The following is a 17,276-nucleotide window of genomic DNA, read 5'->3' as shown; positions in this document are numbered from 1 at the left end:
CCAGCATGGGAGGAAAAAAGGAATCTCATATTCTCCTTTTGAAGAATCCAGATCTATACTCCGGAGACAGCACAGCTTGTATTCCAGTATTTTCCATTTATACTGAAATTCTAAGCTACAGGAAAATAACATGCAGATGTGCTGTTTGTGATTTGAGGAGGCTTTTTTTTTATGCCAGAGTCTATGGTCAGTATAATGATCATATTTAAAAAGTATAAGCATTATATTTTCCACAAACTATCACTTATTCATAACAAACAATTAAAAATAAGGCATGGGGCAATAAATACTAGCACCTCCAAAGTGCTCACTCCTTAATTCGAAATCAAAACAGTAAGTACTTGCATCTTTGATACTCTTCAACTAACACTCGCCCTCTAAGGAGCACCCAAAGCTGTCCTCATAGCACATGCGCAAGCGTTCAGATACAGTTGGTGACCGAGGGCAGCTGGAGACCCTGAAGAGCCTTCTGCATCATCCTAGGGAAACCCTTAATGAGCCGTAATTTTAAATTTTTGAATTTTCTCATTGTATTTAGTGACTTGAAAATCAGTAAAATGTATTAAACTGAATATTTTTTGGATCCAGAAGAACTTAATCAAATATGACACAACAAATGGATGGCTTCTGGTAAGGAGAAGTGGGTTTCTTCTTGGTGTGTGTGTGGGGAGTGAATTTTACAAATGTTCTTAACTCATCGGTGAATCCACTAGTGAAAGAGACAAATCCTAAATGCTTCTTGAGTGGTCTGAGAGTTAGCACCTCCCCCAAAATGTCAGCAGCTGGCTCCCTGGTCTTCAGCATGCACAGGCTCCCTGTTAGCACACTCACAATTAGTCCAGGGTACTTTTTAAAGTTTTGTTTTGTTTTGTTTTGCTTGCAAATAAGAAATGCAGTACAAGAAATTTCATACAGAGACTCAGTGCAATGCAAGTGACCAGGATTCGACATACGTACTATTCAATAATTGAAGTATATTTTATGGTATAAGAACTAAAAATATTGGTTTTTATATTTTTTCCAAATGTCTTTTCAAAGAGTGGTGGAATTAGTTATAAATATTAGCCATTACTTTGTGGAAGAAATCTTTAATCAATTTCAAAAGTTACCTGCTGTTTTTAAAAATCATACTATAAGTCGACTGAGTTCACCTCTTTACTCCTTCACAAATGCCTGTCTTGTGCTTTTCTGGTAATACTTTATTATATATTATTACTTGGGTTATAAGCAGTTATATCAAGATATAAATTTATAAAGTGACACATTTTCAATACCAACCATGTATGTCAACTTATTCCATAATAGCACATTCCATCAGATTAAACTGCAAAAGATTTCCCACATTTGTTTTACATTCTATATGTATGGCTTATGAACAGAAATTTTGACGAATTCCAGCTGGTTTGAATATGCCGGCCAACTCTTATATAACAGATTCTTTTCAATTCTTATTGTATTCAATGAGGCCCGTTTTAAGTGGGCCACCTGGTAGGGTGAAGCACTAATGTATCTCCATAGAAAAAATAAGAAAACAAATCGCCCAACTAAACGTAAGACCATCTTCTCAAACTACATTACTATTACATTTCTAATATAAGTGAGAAATAGTTCTAATCTTTTGGAAAAGTTGAATTAAAATTTAAACAAACTAGCAACCCCATGAACTATTAAATTGCTCATTGATCTATTATAACAACAACATTAAAATAATTTCCACCATTCCTGTGTGTTGCCTGGTTTCACAAAGCTATCATACACATTTTGGCCACCCCCTGCATTCCCCACACCCTTCTGCTTCCATCCAGCTGGAAGACATCAAGGGCACAGAAGCCAAGTGAAATGTTGACCCCACCCTCCTCCATCCATTTTAAGGCACCTTCAAAGCCAGAACACTGATCTAGTTCAGTTTCGTCAACAAAGCCAGCCATACTGCTATTTAAGACTCCAGTTTGGGGTTTTTGTAACTGCACATTAACATAAGAGGTTTGATTTTTAGTCAAAAACTTCAGCTGCACTGAATTCCATCCTATTGCTGTACCCCTTCTGCAGAAGGGTCCTCATTATTAAATCTTCAAAATCTTTTCTTTTAGTGTGGGAGCTCTTTCCTTATAATGTCAACCTCTCTGAACTAGCCATTAGACCCTGAAGGATAGAATGTTTCCCTTCCCAAAAGTCAAAACGGAACAGCCATTATGGTAGTGCAAATGCACATTTTCCCCCAAATTTGCACACCCCATATAATTCGTGCACTGTAACAGATGACAGTCATTCCAGCATGCACAGGAACACTCTTGTCAAGACATGCAGGAGCGGAGCAGGGGCTGGGGGGACAGAAGAGCTGCAAGAGGACAAATAACTTACTTTGTTGTTCCCCTATGCATGTAGCCGCAAGGAAAAGAAAGAGAAATATGTTAAACAGAAATTTATTTTAAAATTATGAGGGTTTTTTCTTCTACTTTCTCTGGATATTAAAAAAAATAAAATGAGGTTTTTCTTGCTAGAGTGAAATCAAAACAAATGATTTAACTATTCACTGACATCTCATACATACACATACAGCATCCAGAGCTCATGGACAAGTCAAAGAATCCACATAGGTTACATGAAATCATACATTTATAACAGCAGAAACTTAGAACAGTTGCCCCCTTTCTTTCTATTTGGAATACCTGGGGTATGGGAACGTGGCCAGAAAGAATTGGTTTGAATCAGTAATAAGTGAACTGTTAGCGTGAAAGGCAGAGCATTTTGTGTGCCGGCTTGCCCTTTCCTGACAGCTCCTCCTCCAACATGCCAAGCAGTGGAAAATTTCATCAGCCAGTGCATTTTTAAACAAACACTGCATCCTTGGTTTCAAAGAAGGTGGAAAAAAAAAAAAAGAAGGAAAAGAGAGCAGAGGAAAGGAGTGGGTGGTTCTAGGGAGACAGGGTAAGCAGACCAAGTTACGACCTCCATCTGGACCATTCCTTTATTTTGTAAATTATGAGTTTTGCCTTAGGTTGGCATGGGAAGCAAGGACTGTATAGTGGGGATGCTGCCAAAACAAACATGAGTCCACACTCAAGAAATGGGTCTGGAAAGGTTAGTCACAAAAATGTAGTCATTTCTAAAAGCGACACTCTGGGTAAAGACACAGAACCGCCAGCAGCAGGCGGCAGGGCAAATGGCTCTCCTGTTTCAACCCTGAGCTGCAAGAGTATGATTTATATCAAACAATTTAACTCACATATGGCCTAAAAAAATAAGACGGTGATTCATTACTCCCGGGGCAGCCCAAGTCCTCACAAGGTCAGATCCTGTGGGGGAGACGTGATGGGATATGGGCCGGGAACAGATCTGAACTCTTCTCACAAGGGGCCCAGAAGGAATTTCTCGCTGAGACACAGGGTGGAAGAGAGCTGTGAGTAAAGTGTGTGCATCTGTGGAGACCTAGAACAGGGCGGAGTCACAGGTCTGGCTGTAGATTTGGCATTTAGTTTTAAGTTGAGGATGTGAAGGGGGAAATAATATATACAGATATTTTCTGGAGAGCGGAAAGGTAATGATCCCAGGAGAGTGTGTTTTCTGGAAAACAATGCCAATTCGTGACTCTAGGGAAATGCCTAATCCAGGGACCATCATATTTAATAAAGAAAACATAAATTTAAAGACACTGATAAAATAGTGAAGAGAAGTTTCTTGGCATTGTGAGTTGCCGTGATATAACCGTTAACACCCTGGCTTATCTGAGACATAAATAATGGCATAAGAACGAATGAAGGGAAAAAAAGAGTCCTTTTTAAAAATGATGCCAACTGTTCAATAAGGCAATAAAGATCCCCACTGGGAATTTTACCGGGAATAAAAGTCTTATTTTAGAGAATAATGGGACCCTGGTTCTCCCAAGTAGTGCAATATTGCTGAAAATACTTCAAACAGATGGAGTTTATTGCATTCCACAGCAGTGCAGCTTTTGATCTACCAAATAAGTTTCAGGAGTTCAACCAAGTATTTTTGCACATTAGGGAATGACTGGCTTCCCCACTCGATGGCAGATGGTTCTGTTTGTAGTGGCAACAATGATGTCACAGGGTAGGAGGCCTTAATCCTTAAATACAAGAAACACACAAGCGGAGGACGTGGTGTGGCTTGGCCATTTCTTGTTTCATTCAATCATTTCCCAACTGTCTATTCTGAGAGAGGCGTAACAGTCATGAATGGTGAAATGTAAATGCTTTATAATTCCCTTCACTACTCTGTGTGGCAGCAATTTATGTTTAGATCCCTGAAAGCACTTCATTGAAGAAAAACTAAGACTCTTCAGAATTGGCCATGTAGCTCTTCTAAGTTTTGCTGAAAATGCTAAGAACAAAGTTATGTGTTGGGGGCTAAGTACCAAGCATTTTAAGTCTTGTATTATTAGACTGCTGAAAAAATGCATATGAGGGGTCATCAGCACTTTAATAAATATGTATGCAGGTCTGTGGCTATTCCTCTTCTTCTCCTACAATAACGCAGAGACTTTTTCTCCTGTTATTTGACACAGAGAAAAATTCACTTTCAGAGTTTGTCCAAGAGGAATTTCTGAAGTTTCAAAAGGACTTCATTGTAAAGTGGTTTCAATCTGCAAAGCCGACCTAAAAACATCAGTTATGACTGGGACAGTCCTGAATTCAGAAGGAATAGTGAAGTTCCAGGGTGATTCACTTCCTGCCATCATTTTTAATCTCTTAAGAAAAATACACGATAGGGGAAGACCACTTATATATACAGCTAATAAAACCTCTTTAAAAACTCTGAGGTGTCAGACTTAGTAAATATGCAAAACTGGATTTGCACCAAATTTCTTTCCAGGACATTGTTTCAGACTTCCTACCAGTAGGCGCGCATCTGAGAGCAGGCTTGTGAATTCTCAGCTCCCGACAGCCTTTCTGCTCACTCCTGACTAACCGATGGAGGCTGGCCTATCCCCCCAGAGTGCATCAGATCTCCCTTTAAATAACTCGGCTTGCTTAGCCAATAGATGGGAAATTCTCCTTCACACACCCAAATCCCACTGATAGTTTCCTAAGAGAAGGGAAGTAATACTTAATTGGGAATTACAGCTTCATGGACACAATGATTTTAAATAATAAAAATATTATTGTTCAACTCCCTCTTATGAGTAAGAACATACAGTGTTTGGTTTTCTGTTGTTGTGTTAGTTTGCTGAGAATGAAGGTTTCCAGCTTCATCCATGTCCCTGCAAACGACATGAACTCATCCTTTTTTATGGCTGCAAAGTATTCCATGGTGTATATGTGCCACATTTTCTTTTTTTTTTTTCTTTTTTTTATTATTATTATACTTTAAGATTTAGGGTACCTGTGCACAATGTTCAGGTTAGTTACATATGTATACATGTGCCATGCTGGTGTGCTGCACCCATTAACTCGTCATTTAGCATTAGCTATATCTCCTAATGCTATCCCTCCCCCATCCCCCCACCCCACAACAGTCCCCAGAGTGTGATGTTCCCCTTCCTGTGTCCATGTGTTCTCATTGTTCAATTCCCATCTATGAGTGAGAACATGTGGTGTTTCGGTTTTTGTCCTTGCGATAGTTTACTGAGAATGGTGATTTCCAATTTCATCCATGTCCCTACAAAGGACATGAACTCATCATTTTTTATGGCTGCGTAGTATTCCATGGTGTATATGTGCCACATTTTCTTAATCCAGTCTATCATTGTTGGACATTTGGCTTGGTTCCAAGTCTTTGCTATTGTGAGTAGTGCTGCAATAAACATATGTGTGCATGTGTCTTTATAGCAGCATGATTTATACTCCTTTGGGTATATACCCAGTAATGGGATGGCTGGGTCAAATGGTATTTCTAGTTCTAGATCCCTGAGGAATCACCACACTGACTTCCACAATGGTTGAACTAGTTTACAGTCCCACCAACAGTGTAAAAGTGTTCCTATTTCTCCACATGCTCTCCAGCATCTGTTGTTTCCTGACTTTTTAATGATTGCCATTCTAACTGGTGTGAGATGGTATCTCATTGTGGTTTTGATTTGCATTTCTCTGATGGCCAGTGATGATGAGCATTTTTTCATGTGTCTTTTGGCTGCATAAATGTCTTCTTTTCAGAAGTGTCTGTTCATATCCTTTGCCCACTTTTTGATGAGGTTGTTTGTTTTTTTCTTGTAAATTTGTTTGAGTTCATTGTAGATTCTGGATATTAGCCCTTTGTCAGATGAGAAGGTTGCAAAAATTTTCTCCCATTTTGCCTGTTCACTCTGATGGTAGTTTCTTTTGCTGTGCAGAAACTCTTTAGTTTAATTAGATCTCATTTGTCAATTTTGGCTTTTGTTGCCATTGCTTTTGGTGTTTTAGACATGAAGTCCTTGCCCATGCCTATGTCCTGAATGGTAATGCCTAGGTTTTCTTCTAGGGTTTTTATGGTTTTAGGTCTAACATTTAAGTCTTTAATCCATCTTGAATTAATTTTTGTATAAGGTGTAAGGAAGGGATCCAGTTTCAGCTTTCTACATATGGCTAGCCAGTTTTCCCAGCACCATTTATTAAATAGGGAAACCTTTCCTCATTGCTTGTTTTTCTCAGGTTTGTCAAAGATCAGATAGTTGTAGATATGCGGCGTTATTTCTGAGGGCTCTGTTCTGTTCCATTGGTCTATATCTCTGTTTTGGTACCAGTACCATGCTGTTTTGGTTACTGTAGCCTTGTAGTATAGTTTGAAGTCAGGTAGCGTGATGCCTCCAGCTTTGTTCTTTTGGCTTAGGATTGACTTGGCGATGCAGGCTCTTTTTTGGTTCCACATGAACTTTAAAGTAGTTTTTTCCAAGTCTGTGAAGAAAGTCATTGGTAGCTTGATGGGGATGGCACTGAATCTATAAATTACCTTGGGCAGTATGGCCATTTTCATGATATTGATTCTTCCCACCCATGAGCATGGAATGTTCTTCCATTTGTTTGTGTCCTCTTTTATTTCATTGAGCAGTGGTTTGTAGTTCTCCTTGAAGAGGTCCTTCACGTCCCTTGTAAGCTGGATTCCTAGGTATTTTATTCTCTTTGAAGCAATTGTGAATGGTAGTTCACTCATGATTTGGCTCTCTGTTTGTCTGTTATTGGTGTATAAGAATGCTTGTGATTTTTGTACATTGATTGTATATCCTGAGACTTTGCTGAAGTTGCTTATCAGCTTAAGGAGATTTTGGGCTGAGACAATGGGGTTTTCTAGATATACAATCACGTCGTCTGCAAACAGGGACAATTTGGCTTCCTCTTTTCCTAATTGAATACCCTTTATTTCCTTCTCCTGCCTGATTGCCCTGGCCAGAACTTCCAACACTATGTTGAATAGGAGTGGTGAGAGAGGGCATCCCTGTCTTGTGCCAGTTTTCAAAGGGAATGCTTCCAGTTTTTGCCCATTCAGTATGATATTGGCTGTGGGTTTGTCATAGATAGCTCTTATTATTTTGAGATACGTCCCATCAATACCTAATTTATTGAGAGTTTATAGCCTGAAGGGCTGTTGAATTTTTTCAAGGGCCTTTTCTGCATCTATTGAAATAATCATGTGCTTTTGTCTTTGGTTCTGTTTATATGCTGGATTACATTTATTGATTTACATATATTGAACCAGCCTTGCATCCCAGGGATGAAGACCACTTGATCATGGTGGATAAGCTTTTTGATGTGCTGCTGGATTCAGTTTGCCAGTATTTTATTGAGGATTTTTGCATCAATGTTCATCAAGGATATTGGTCTAAAATTCTCTTTTTTGGTTGTGTCTCTGCCAGGCTTTGATATCAGGATGATGCTGGCCTCAAAATGAGTTAGGGAGGATTCCCTCTTTTTCTATTGATTGGAATAGTTTCAGAAGGAATGCTACCAGTTCCTCCTTGTACCTCTGGTAGAATTCGGCTGTGAATCCATCTGGTCCTGGACTCTTTTTGGTTGGTAAGCTATTGATTATTGCCACAATTTCAGAGCCTGTTACTGGTCTATTCAGAGATTCAACTTCTTCCTGGTTTAGTCTTGGGAGAGTGTATGTGTCGAGAAATTTATCCATTTCTTCTAGATTTTCTAGTTTATTTGCATAGAGGTGTTGGTAGTATTCTCTGATGGTAGTTTGTATTTCTGTGGGATCAGTGGTGATATCCCCTTTATCATTTTTTATTGCGTCTATTTGATTCTTCTCTCTTTTTTTCTTTATTAGTCTTGCTAGTGGTCTATCAATTTTGTTGATCCTTTCTAAAAACCAGGTTCTGGATTCATTAATTTTTTGAAGGATTTTTTTTGTCTCTATTTCCTTCAGTTCTGCTCTGATTTTAGTTATTTCTTGCCTTCTGCTAGCTTTTGAATGTGTTTGCTCTTGCTTTTCTAGTTCTTTTAATTGTGATGTTAGGGTGTCAATTTTGGATCTTTCCTGCTTTCTCTTATGGGCATTTAGTGCTATAAATTTCCCTCTACACACTGCTTTGAATGTGTCCCAGAGATTCTGGTATGTTGTGTCTTTGTTCTCGTTGGTTTCAAAGAACATCTTTATTTCTGCCTTCATTTCGTTATGTACCCAGTAGTCATTCAGGAGCAGGTTGTTCAGTTTCCATGTAGTTGAGCGGTTTTGAGTGAGTTTCTTAATCCTGAGTTCTAGTTTGATTGCACTGTGGTCTGAGAGACAGTTTGTTATAACTTCTGTTCTTTTAATTTGCTGAGGAGAGCTTTACTTCCCAGTATGTGGTCAATTTTGGAATAGGTGTGGTGCGGTGCTGAAAAAAATGTATATTCTATTGATTTGGGGTGGAGAGTTCTGTAGATGTCTATTAGGTCCGCTTGGTGCAGAGCTGAGTTCAATTCCTGGGTATCCTTGTTAATTTTCTGTCTCGTTGATCTGTCTAATGTTAACAGTGGGGTGTTAAAGTCTCCCATTATTATTGTGTGGGAGTCTAAGTCTCTTTGTAGGTCACTCAGGACTTGCTTTATGAATCTGGGTGCTCCTGTATTGGGTGCATATATATTTAGGATAGTTAGCTCTTCTTGTTGAATTGATCCATTTACCATTATGTAATAGCCTTCTTTGTCTCTTTTGATCTTTGTTGGTTTAAAGTCTGTTTTATCAGAGACTAGGATTGCAACCCCTGCCTTTTTTTGTTTTCCATTTGCTTGGTAGATCTTCCTCAATCCTTTTATTTTGAGCCTATGTGTGTCTCTGCACGTGAGATGGGTTTCCTGAATACAGCACACTGATGGGTCTTGATTCTTTATCCCATTTGCCAGTCTGTGTCTTTTAATTGGGATATTTAGTCCTTTTACATTTAAAGTTAATATTGTTATGTGTGAATTTGATCCTGTCAATATGATGTTAGCTGGTTATTTTGCTCAGTAGTTCATGCAGTTCCTTCCTAGTCTCGATGGTCTTTACATTTTGGCATGATTTTGCAGTGGCTGGTACCGGTTTTTCCTTTCCATGTTTAGTGCTTCCTTCAGGAGCTCTTTCAGGGCAGGCCTGGTGGTGACAAAATCTCTCAGCATTTGCTTGTCTGTGAAGTATTTTATTTCTCCTTCACTTATGAAGCTTAGTTTGGCTGGATATGAAATTCTGGGTTGAAAATTCTTTTCTTTAAGAATGTTGAATATTGGCTCCCACTCTCTTCTGGCTTGTAGAGTTTCTGCCGAGAGATCCGCCGTTAGTCTGATGGGCTTCCCTTTGTGGGTAACCCGACCTTTCTCTCTGGCTGCCCTTAACACTTTTTCCTTCATTTCAACTTTGGTGAATCTGACAATTATGTGTCTCGGAGTTGCTCTTCTCGAGGAGTATCTTTGTGGCGTTCTCTGTATTTCCTGAATCTGAACGTTGGCCTGCCTTGCTAGATTGGGGAAGTTCTCCTGGATAATATCCTGCAGAATGTTTTCTAACTTGGTTCCATTCTCCCCGTCACTGTCAGGTACACCAATCAGACGCAGATTTGGTCTTTTCACATAGTCCCATATTTCTTGGAGGCTTTGTTCGTTTCTTTTTATTCTTTTTTCTCTAAACTTCCCTTCTCACTTCATTTCATTCATTTCATCTTCCATCAGTGATACCCTTTCTTCCAGTTGATCGCATTGGTTCTTGAGGCTTCTGCATTCTTCACGTAGTTCTCGAGCGTTGGCTTTCAGCTCCATCAGCTCCTTTAAGCACTTCTCTGTATTGGTTATTCTAGTTATACATTTGTCTAAATTTTTTTCAAAGTTTTCAACTTCTTTGCCTTTGGTTTGAATTTCCTCCTGTAGCTCGGAGTAGTTTGATCGTCTGCAGCCTTCTTCTCTCAACTCGTCAAAGTAATTCTATGTCCAGCTTTGTTCCGTTGCTGGTGAGGAACTGCGTTCCTTTGGAGGAGAGGCACTCTGCTTTTTAGAGTTTCCAGTTTTTCTGCTCTGTTTTTTCCCCATCTTTGTGGTTTTATCTACTTTTGGTCTTTGATGATGGTGATGTACAGATGGGTTTTTGGTGTGGATGTCCTTTCTGTTTGTTAGTTTTCCTTTTAACAGACAGGACCCTCAGCTGCAGGTCTGTTGGACTTTGCTAGAGGTCCACTCCAGACCCTGTTTGCCTGGGTATCAGCAGCGGTGTCTGCAGAACCGTGGATTTTCATGAACCGCGAATGCTGCTGTCTGATTGTTCCTCTGGAAGTTTTGTCTCAGAGGAGTACCCGGCCGTGTGAGGTGTCAGTCTGCCCCTACTGGGGGGTGCCTCCCAGTTAGGCTGCTCGGGAGTCAGGGGTCAGGGACCCACTTGAGGAGGCAGTCTGCCTGTTCTCAGATCTCCAGCTGCGTGCTGGGAGAACCACTGCTCTCTTCAAAGCTGTCAGACAGGGACATTTAAGTCTGCAGAGGTTACTGCTGTCTTTTTGTTTGTCTGTGCCCTGCCCCCAGAGGTGGAGCCTACAGAGGCAGGCAGGCCTCCTTGAGCTGTGGTGGGCTCCAGCCAGTTGGAGCTTCCCGGCTGCTTTGTTTACCTAAGCAAGCCTGGGCAATGGCGGGCGCCCCTCCCTCAGCCTCGCTGCCACCTTGCAGTTTGATCTCAGACTGCTGTGCTAGCAATCAGCGAGACTCCGTGGGCGTAGGACCCTCTGAGCCAGGTGCGGGATATAATTCTCCTGGTGCACCGTTTCCTAAGCCCGTCAGAAAAGCACAGTATGCGGGTGGGAGTGACCTGATTTTCCAGGTGCCGTCTGTCACCCCTTTCCTTGACCAGGAAAGGGAACTCCTTGACCCCTTGCACTTCCTGAGTGAGGCAATGCCTCGCCCTGCTTCGGCTCGTGCACCGCGTGCTGCACCCACTGACCTGCACCCACTGTCTGGCACTCCCTAGTGAGATGAACCTGCTACCTCAGATGGAAATGCAGAAATCACCCGTCTTCTGCGTTGCTCACGCTGGGAGCTGTAGACCGGAGCTGTTCCTATTCGGCCATCTTGGCTCCTCCCCCTGTGCCACATTTTCTTTATCCAGTCTATCGTTGATGGGCATTTGGGTCCTAAGTCTTTGCTATTGTGAACAGTGCTGCAATAAACATACGTGTGCATGTGTCTTTATTGTAGAATTATTTATAATCCTTTGGGTATATGTCCAGTAATGGGATTGCTGAGTCAAACAGTATTTCTGGTTCTAGATCCTTGAGGAGTTGCCACACTACATTCCACAATGGTTGAACTAATTTACACTCCCACCAACAGTGTAAACAGGGAGGGGAACATCACACACTGGGGCCTGTCGGGGGGTAGGGGGCTAGGGGAGGGATAGCATTAGGAGAAATATGTAATGTAGATGACTGGTTGATGGGTGCAGCAAACCACCATGGCACACGTATACCTATGTAACAAACCTGCACATTCTGCACATGTATCCTAGAACTTAAAGTATAATAAAAATAAGTAAGTAAATAAATAAATAAATAAATAAATAAATGCTATGAGACATTGAACACATTCACCCAGTTGAAGGTACTGAACTAGTTGTGATGCAGAAGAACCTTCATTTAATCTTATAAAGTCACTCTGAGGAAGGCATTATTCTGAGTTTAGAGAAGAATCAACAATTGGAAGGTTAAGTAAGTTGCCTGAGCCACATGGCTAGTAAATGGCAGGCTCAGGATCCAACTGTGAGTGGATTTGACTTGAAGTCTACCTCATTCCATGGCACACATTATGTTTCAAGGAATTTAAATTCAGAATTCTTTCATGTTTTATGTAATTTAAATATTGTAAGCCAACAAAACTGTGCCAGAAAAGTCAGTTGTTTGTTATATCATGTTCTTTAGATATTAAATCAAATTCACATTTATTTATAATCACATATGTAGGAAAAATTTACGTACGTGTCAATAAAATAATCTTTTAAAAGTTGTCTAATCATAGCCTCTTACCACTGATACATACGCACACACAATACAGACTGATTGTATTTCAGTCTCATCAGTGAAAATAACAATTAATTACATTAGAGACATCTTTACTTTGAAACTGGATAAAGTCCTACATATTTAATGATATCAAATTTTACAATGGTTGTAATTTCAATTTAGTGACCATAGAAAATAGAAATGGAAAAAATAAAATTCTGCTAAATCCAAATTCAGATTTAAATATAGTTTTAAAATATTGTGGCTGCTCAGAAATATCAGGTGACTGGTAGAATGCTAAATCTGTGGCTCAAAGGAAGTTATGTGTAAATTCACAGAGTAAGTCAGTAGCCTGAATCCAGGACTCCTCCTTTCCATTTTAGAGCCATAGATGCCACTGCTCAGACAAAAATTCTACATTTTGCTTTGGATCCAGAAAGGTGAAAGAGAATAAAAGTAATTAGAAAATCCATATGGAAAAATAGTAGGGCTGTTGTATTTTATACAGATATCCACTGTAGATCTTATCATATTGTAGAGCATTTATTTGTGTCTTTCTCTTTCACTAGGCTTAGCATTCCTATTAAGTAGGAATTTCATCTTTTTAATCTTTGAATCTCTAGAGTCCACTTTAATAGTGATGGATGAAGGGAAAGAAAGAAGGGAGGAAAGAGGATGGAAGGGAAGGAAAGAAATAAAATTTTAGAAAACCCCAAGATAAATAACTTAAGAGACAAAAGAAACAGGGGAGCAGAAGATTTTGATATGAGTGACATAAAACCATTCCATCACTTGGACGTGATGGAAAAAAATATATAGTGAGAATGTATTTTAAAAAGTGAGCATATGTAACCTTACTAGAAAATAAAATCTGTCTAACACAGCATTTCATTCAAATTTGGGCTATGGCTGTTTATCTAATGATGTCAAACTTACACAATTTTTAAAAATGATCTATATAGAGATTTCTTTCCAGTCAAAATAGAGGTATCTTGTGCAGAAAGCAGAACTTTGTAAGTTTAGACTCATGTCCATGCATGACACATAAATGTTTCATTATTAGGGTAGCAATTGACTGATTTGTAGACTCAATGGTTTATTGACATGAAAGCAAAATCACACTACTTAGACATTCTAAAAATTTACACAGACGGAGGCATCTGTTATTAGGTTATTCTGACTTCATCAAGTCTTTCTAAATTAGGAATAACTACCTAAAAATAATTTCCTTCCCCCAAATATAAGTGAGTGTTCACAAAATAGAAACTTTAGATAAGCATTCTAGTTAATTTCATCAGTTAGCTGCCATTTAAATATCTGAAAGTCAAGCAATTATGTAATATGACCTGTAGGACTACATGGTGCATAAGAAATGCAAATATTGTTTATGATGAAAACTGAAAAAAGGCAATATCATCGCACACTGCTAAATTTAATTTCCTGTGTTGCCTTCGGTATGTACTAAAAATTCGTTTGTCTTGATCTTCTAAGCAATTGTACCAAATATGCATTGATAAACAAATAAAAATGATATAAAAAGAATCAAAACAGATTGTGTTGTGAGATTTGCTTAAAATTGAGTATTCTAATTAAAAATAGAAAATATTTCTTTGTCTTTTTGATGTAGAGCTATGGATACATAAAAATCCAGCCAGTTTACTGGGAGATGGATAACTTTGATTTTCTAGGACAGTTTTTCCCTCATAAGAGATTCATTGAAAGTTTTTGTTTTTGTTTCTGAGACAGGGTATCACTCTTTCACACAGGCTGGAGTGCGGTGGGACGAACACTGTAGCCTGGGCCTCCCAGGCTCAAGCAATCCTCCTGGCATCCCTTGTAGCTGGGATCACAGGTGTGTGCCACCGTGCCTGGCTAAGCATTATTTTTGTTTAAATGGCAAACTTGTCTAGTGCATTTGAAATAGGTTTAATTTACAAAATCATGACTTAACAAAACATTTTCACAAACATTATAGTTGCATGTTAAGGCAGACACACACACACACACACACACACACACACATTGATAAATAACCAAGCATACAAGCATATTTGGAAGATAGAAAATAACAAAGTATTTATAATCTCACTGGGCTGTATGATAATATTCACAGTATTTCAACCTTCCCCTAGCTGTTAAAGAAAGTAGTTTTGATGAAAATGTTCATAATAAGAATCATAATAATTATAATTATAAGTGAAAATATAGTGCTTACTTGTACCTGCCCTGTTCAATGCTTTCCCTGCATTATCTCATTCAATCCTATCAACCGCCCTATAAAAGACTACTGTTATCTTCATCTCAGAAATAAGAATCTTGAAATGTGAAAAGGCTAGGTAACCTGCCCAAGACCTCACAGCTTGGAAGTAAGCACCTGGAATGTAAATATAAGTGGTGTGACACAACAGCCCTGCTTGAACTCACATGCTTTACTACCTCTCATCATTCTCAACCATAATGAGCTTTTAAATATATAAATCGTCACTAAGTGACTTGAAACCTAGTAGTGGCTTCCATCTCACTTAGAATAAAATTCAAAAGGCTCGCCCCATCCTTCAAGGCCTACATCACCTGGTCCCTGACCTCTTTCCTTGTTAACCAACTACCACCTTTGTCTTCCCTCACAGTGTTCCAGACACACTGGCCTTGCTGCTCCTCTAAGACACTGAGCTTGGTTTTGCACTTGCTATCTTCTGCCAAGAATACTCTTCTTCAGACTTCCAGATCCTTTACTCCCTCCCTTCTTTGAAGAGCCTGCTCTAATGTCAACTCTTCAAAGAGGCCTTCCCTCATCACCTTGACAAAAATAAAGCTTGCCTGCCCCTTACTCTCACTGTCTGTCCCTTTAACTTACTTAACATTTTATAGAACTTATCACTATCTTAAATAATGGTGCACAATTATCGTTATTCACTCCCTTGTTTAATGTCTGCTCCAGTGGGGGCAGGACTTTATTGCTATTGTTCACCTCTGTATCACCAGGGCCTAGAATGGCAGCTGGCAAAAAGCATATGCTCCAAAGGTTTGTGTGGAATGAGTTAATAAAAAATTAGGTATGTGTGCATTTTTAATATAGAACATTTGTGAAATTAAACACACTACCATCAATGGATAGGGAAGAGTAATAAGTAATAGAGTTAAAAACAAAAGTAAAAGTGGTACTCTGATGTTTAATGACTTCTCACATGTAGTCTTTAGAGTGGTATATATCTATGCAAATATCTACGCATATAACAGGAGAACAACTCGACAACAATTATGAAAATCATATATGCGTGCTTCTGTACTCCTGGCTATTGACAGGAAAGCATCTAGTTTAACTTCCATTTGGAGGGCACAAAGCATATTGTGGGAGGTTCATTGTTTTAGGTGTCAGACAGGTATAGGATGACAAGTATAGCATGCAATGGCATAAAGAGGTCTATGTGTGAGTTAAAATAACAGCAGAGAGGACGACATTTTGGTGCAAGTCCTCAATCCTGTATTCCTGAAACTCTGTTACATTTTAGTATAACCCCAGAGATGTGGTCAGCCCTGAAACCCCCCTAGAAATACTTTAATTGTCCTATGTTTCACCCATATCTCAGACTTTCTCTTGAAAAGACTCTCTCCCTATTTTGAACCTAAAAAGGACCCAACTCATGCATGATCATTCCTATAAACTGATCGAGAGCCAAGTAGGCACCTCAGGAGTTAAGCTGAACTAAATCCCCAAGGCTTAGTCTCAGTACTTTAGTTCTGGGGAGAAACCTGGATAATCTAGATATACAGGAGGAAGCAGCAAGTGGAGAGGTCCACTCAGTGGCAGAGTCTGTTTAACGGTGGGTGCACATATGTTGGGTGAGACTTCTGTTTAAATTTAGACTAGTCTGTGTAATATTACATTTTCCAAAGAACACAAAGAAAAGGTCTGTTTATTAACTTGAATGAGAGAAGTGTCTTAAAGACACGTGAAGCATATTAATAAAGACAAGTGGAAATAGCAATATATTTCTTTTTGTTCTTTCACACTCATGAGGATATTAAACAGAGTTTGCACACAGATATACTTATGGATACAGGGAATATAGACATAATGAAAGGGGATAGATTTTTATTAAAATGAGTATATTTTAAGCAAGTCAAAATGCTGGTGTTATGATTGATGATATACTGATTGTATTAATACCATGATAAGTATGAAAAAGCATATAGAGAAAAATGAAATTTTGAAATAAAACAAACTTTGTCTTGAGCTGAGATTGCATATGTGTTTTATGGCTGAGTAGGACATTTTCTTTAACAAATATATTGTTTAACTTCTTCAAATAGAAATCTAACAGAGAAAAAGCATTGTTAAAAAATATAAAAAGAGTAAGCGAAGTATCAGCTAAAAGTGTAACTAATTAATTAAGTCAGTAAGAAAACTAGTTTCTCCAGCTTATGGTATGTAGGATTAATATTTTCTTAAGCATAGCTAATAATAATTTTTACATAAGAGATATATCCAACTTACTACAGATTTGTCAGGATAGACCCCAGCTCTTAGTAGAGATGCCTTCCAGCTGTCGACATCCTCCTGGGAATCACATGCCAGCTCAAGGAAGCGATAGTCTTTGTATACATTCCTGGAGTTAAAAAAAAAAAAAATCATGCTTTTAGTTTGAACCAAATTCAAAGTCATTTTATGTTGCTGTAGACGATGATGATGTAAGTGACAATCCAAATGGACAGTTTCTGACAGTCACTGAAGGAAAACAAAAACAACTCATACTTTAAAATAATTAGTGAATTTCTACATGTATTTACAATATAATTTTTTAAAAAATCACATTACAAAGCTCAGAGTTATCTGTACTGCTACAAAATTAAAAAGTAAATACAAATGTATTCAATATTATACACTGGGTGTGAACTGATTGGAACTTGT

General features: G+C 38.7%; 1 protein-coding gene across 19 annotated transcripts in view; it reads right to left on the bottom strand.

Annotated features, from left to right (window-relative positions):
• Positions 1 to 17,276, bottom strand: part of DNM3 (dynamin 3) — a 576,969-nt gene that overhangs the window by 92,765 nt on the left and 466,928 nt on the right. For 10 of the 19 annotated variants that reach the window (NR_146559.2, NM_001350206.2, XM_017000984.2 and 7 more), the window contains one exon: positions 16,863 to 16,974. Coding sequence is in view for 17 of the 19 variants with exons in the window: in NM_001350206.2 (NP_001337135.1) it covers positions 16,863 to 16,974 (112 nt within the window). In the remaining 2 variants the exon portion in view is untranslated. Of the gene's footprint in view, positions 1 to 2,361; positions 2,374 to 16,862; positions 16,975 to 17,276 lie in introns of those variants that run through there. The other 9 variants (XM_017000979.2, XM_017000976.2, XM_005245079.2 and 6 more) reach the window with 3 other exon arrangements.

The sequence above is a fragment of the Homo sapiens genome, chromosome 1 (assembly GCF_000001405.40).
Source record: "Homo sapiens chromosome 1, GRCh38.p14 Primary Assembly".
In the NCBI taxonomy this organism is placed as follows: domain Eukaryota; kingdom Metazoa; phylum Chordata; class Mammalia; order Primates; family Hominidae; genus Homo; species Homo sapiens.
Note: the sequence above shows the minus strand (reverse complement) of the source record. Positions and strands in the feature narration are given on the sequence as shown.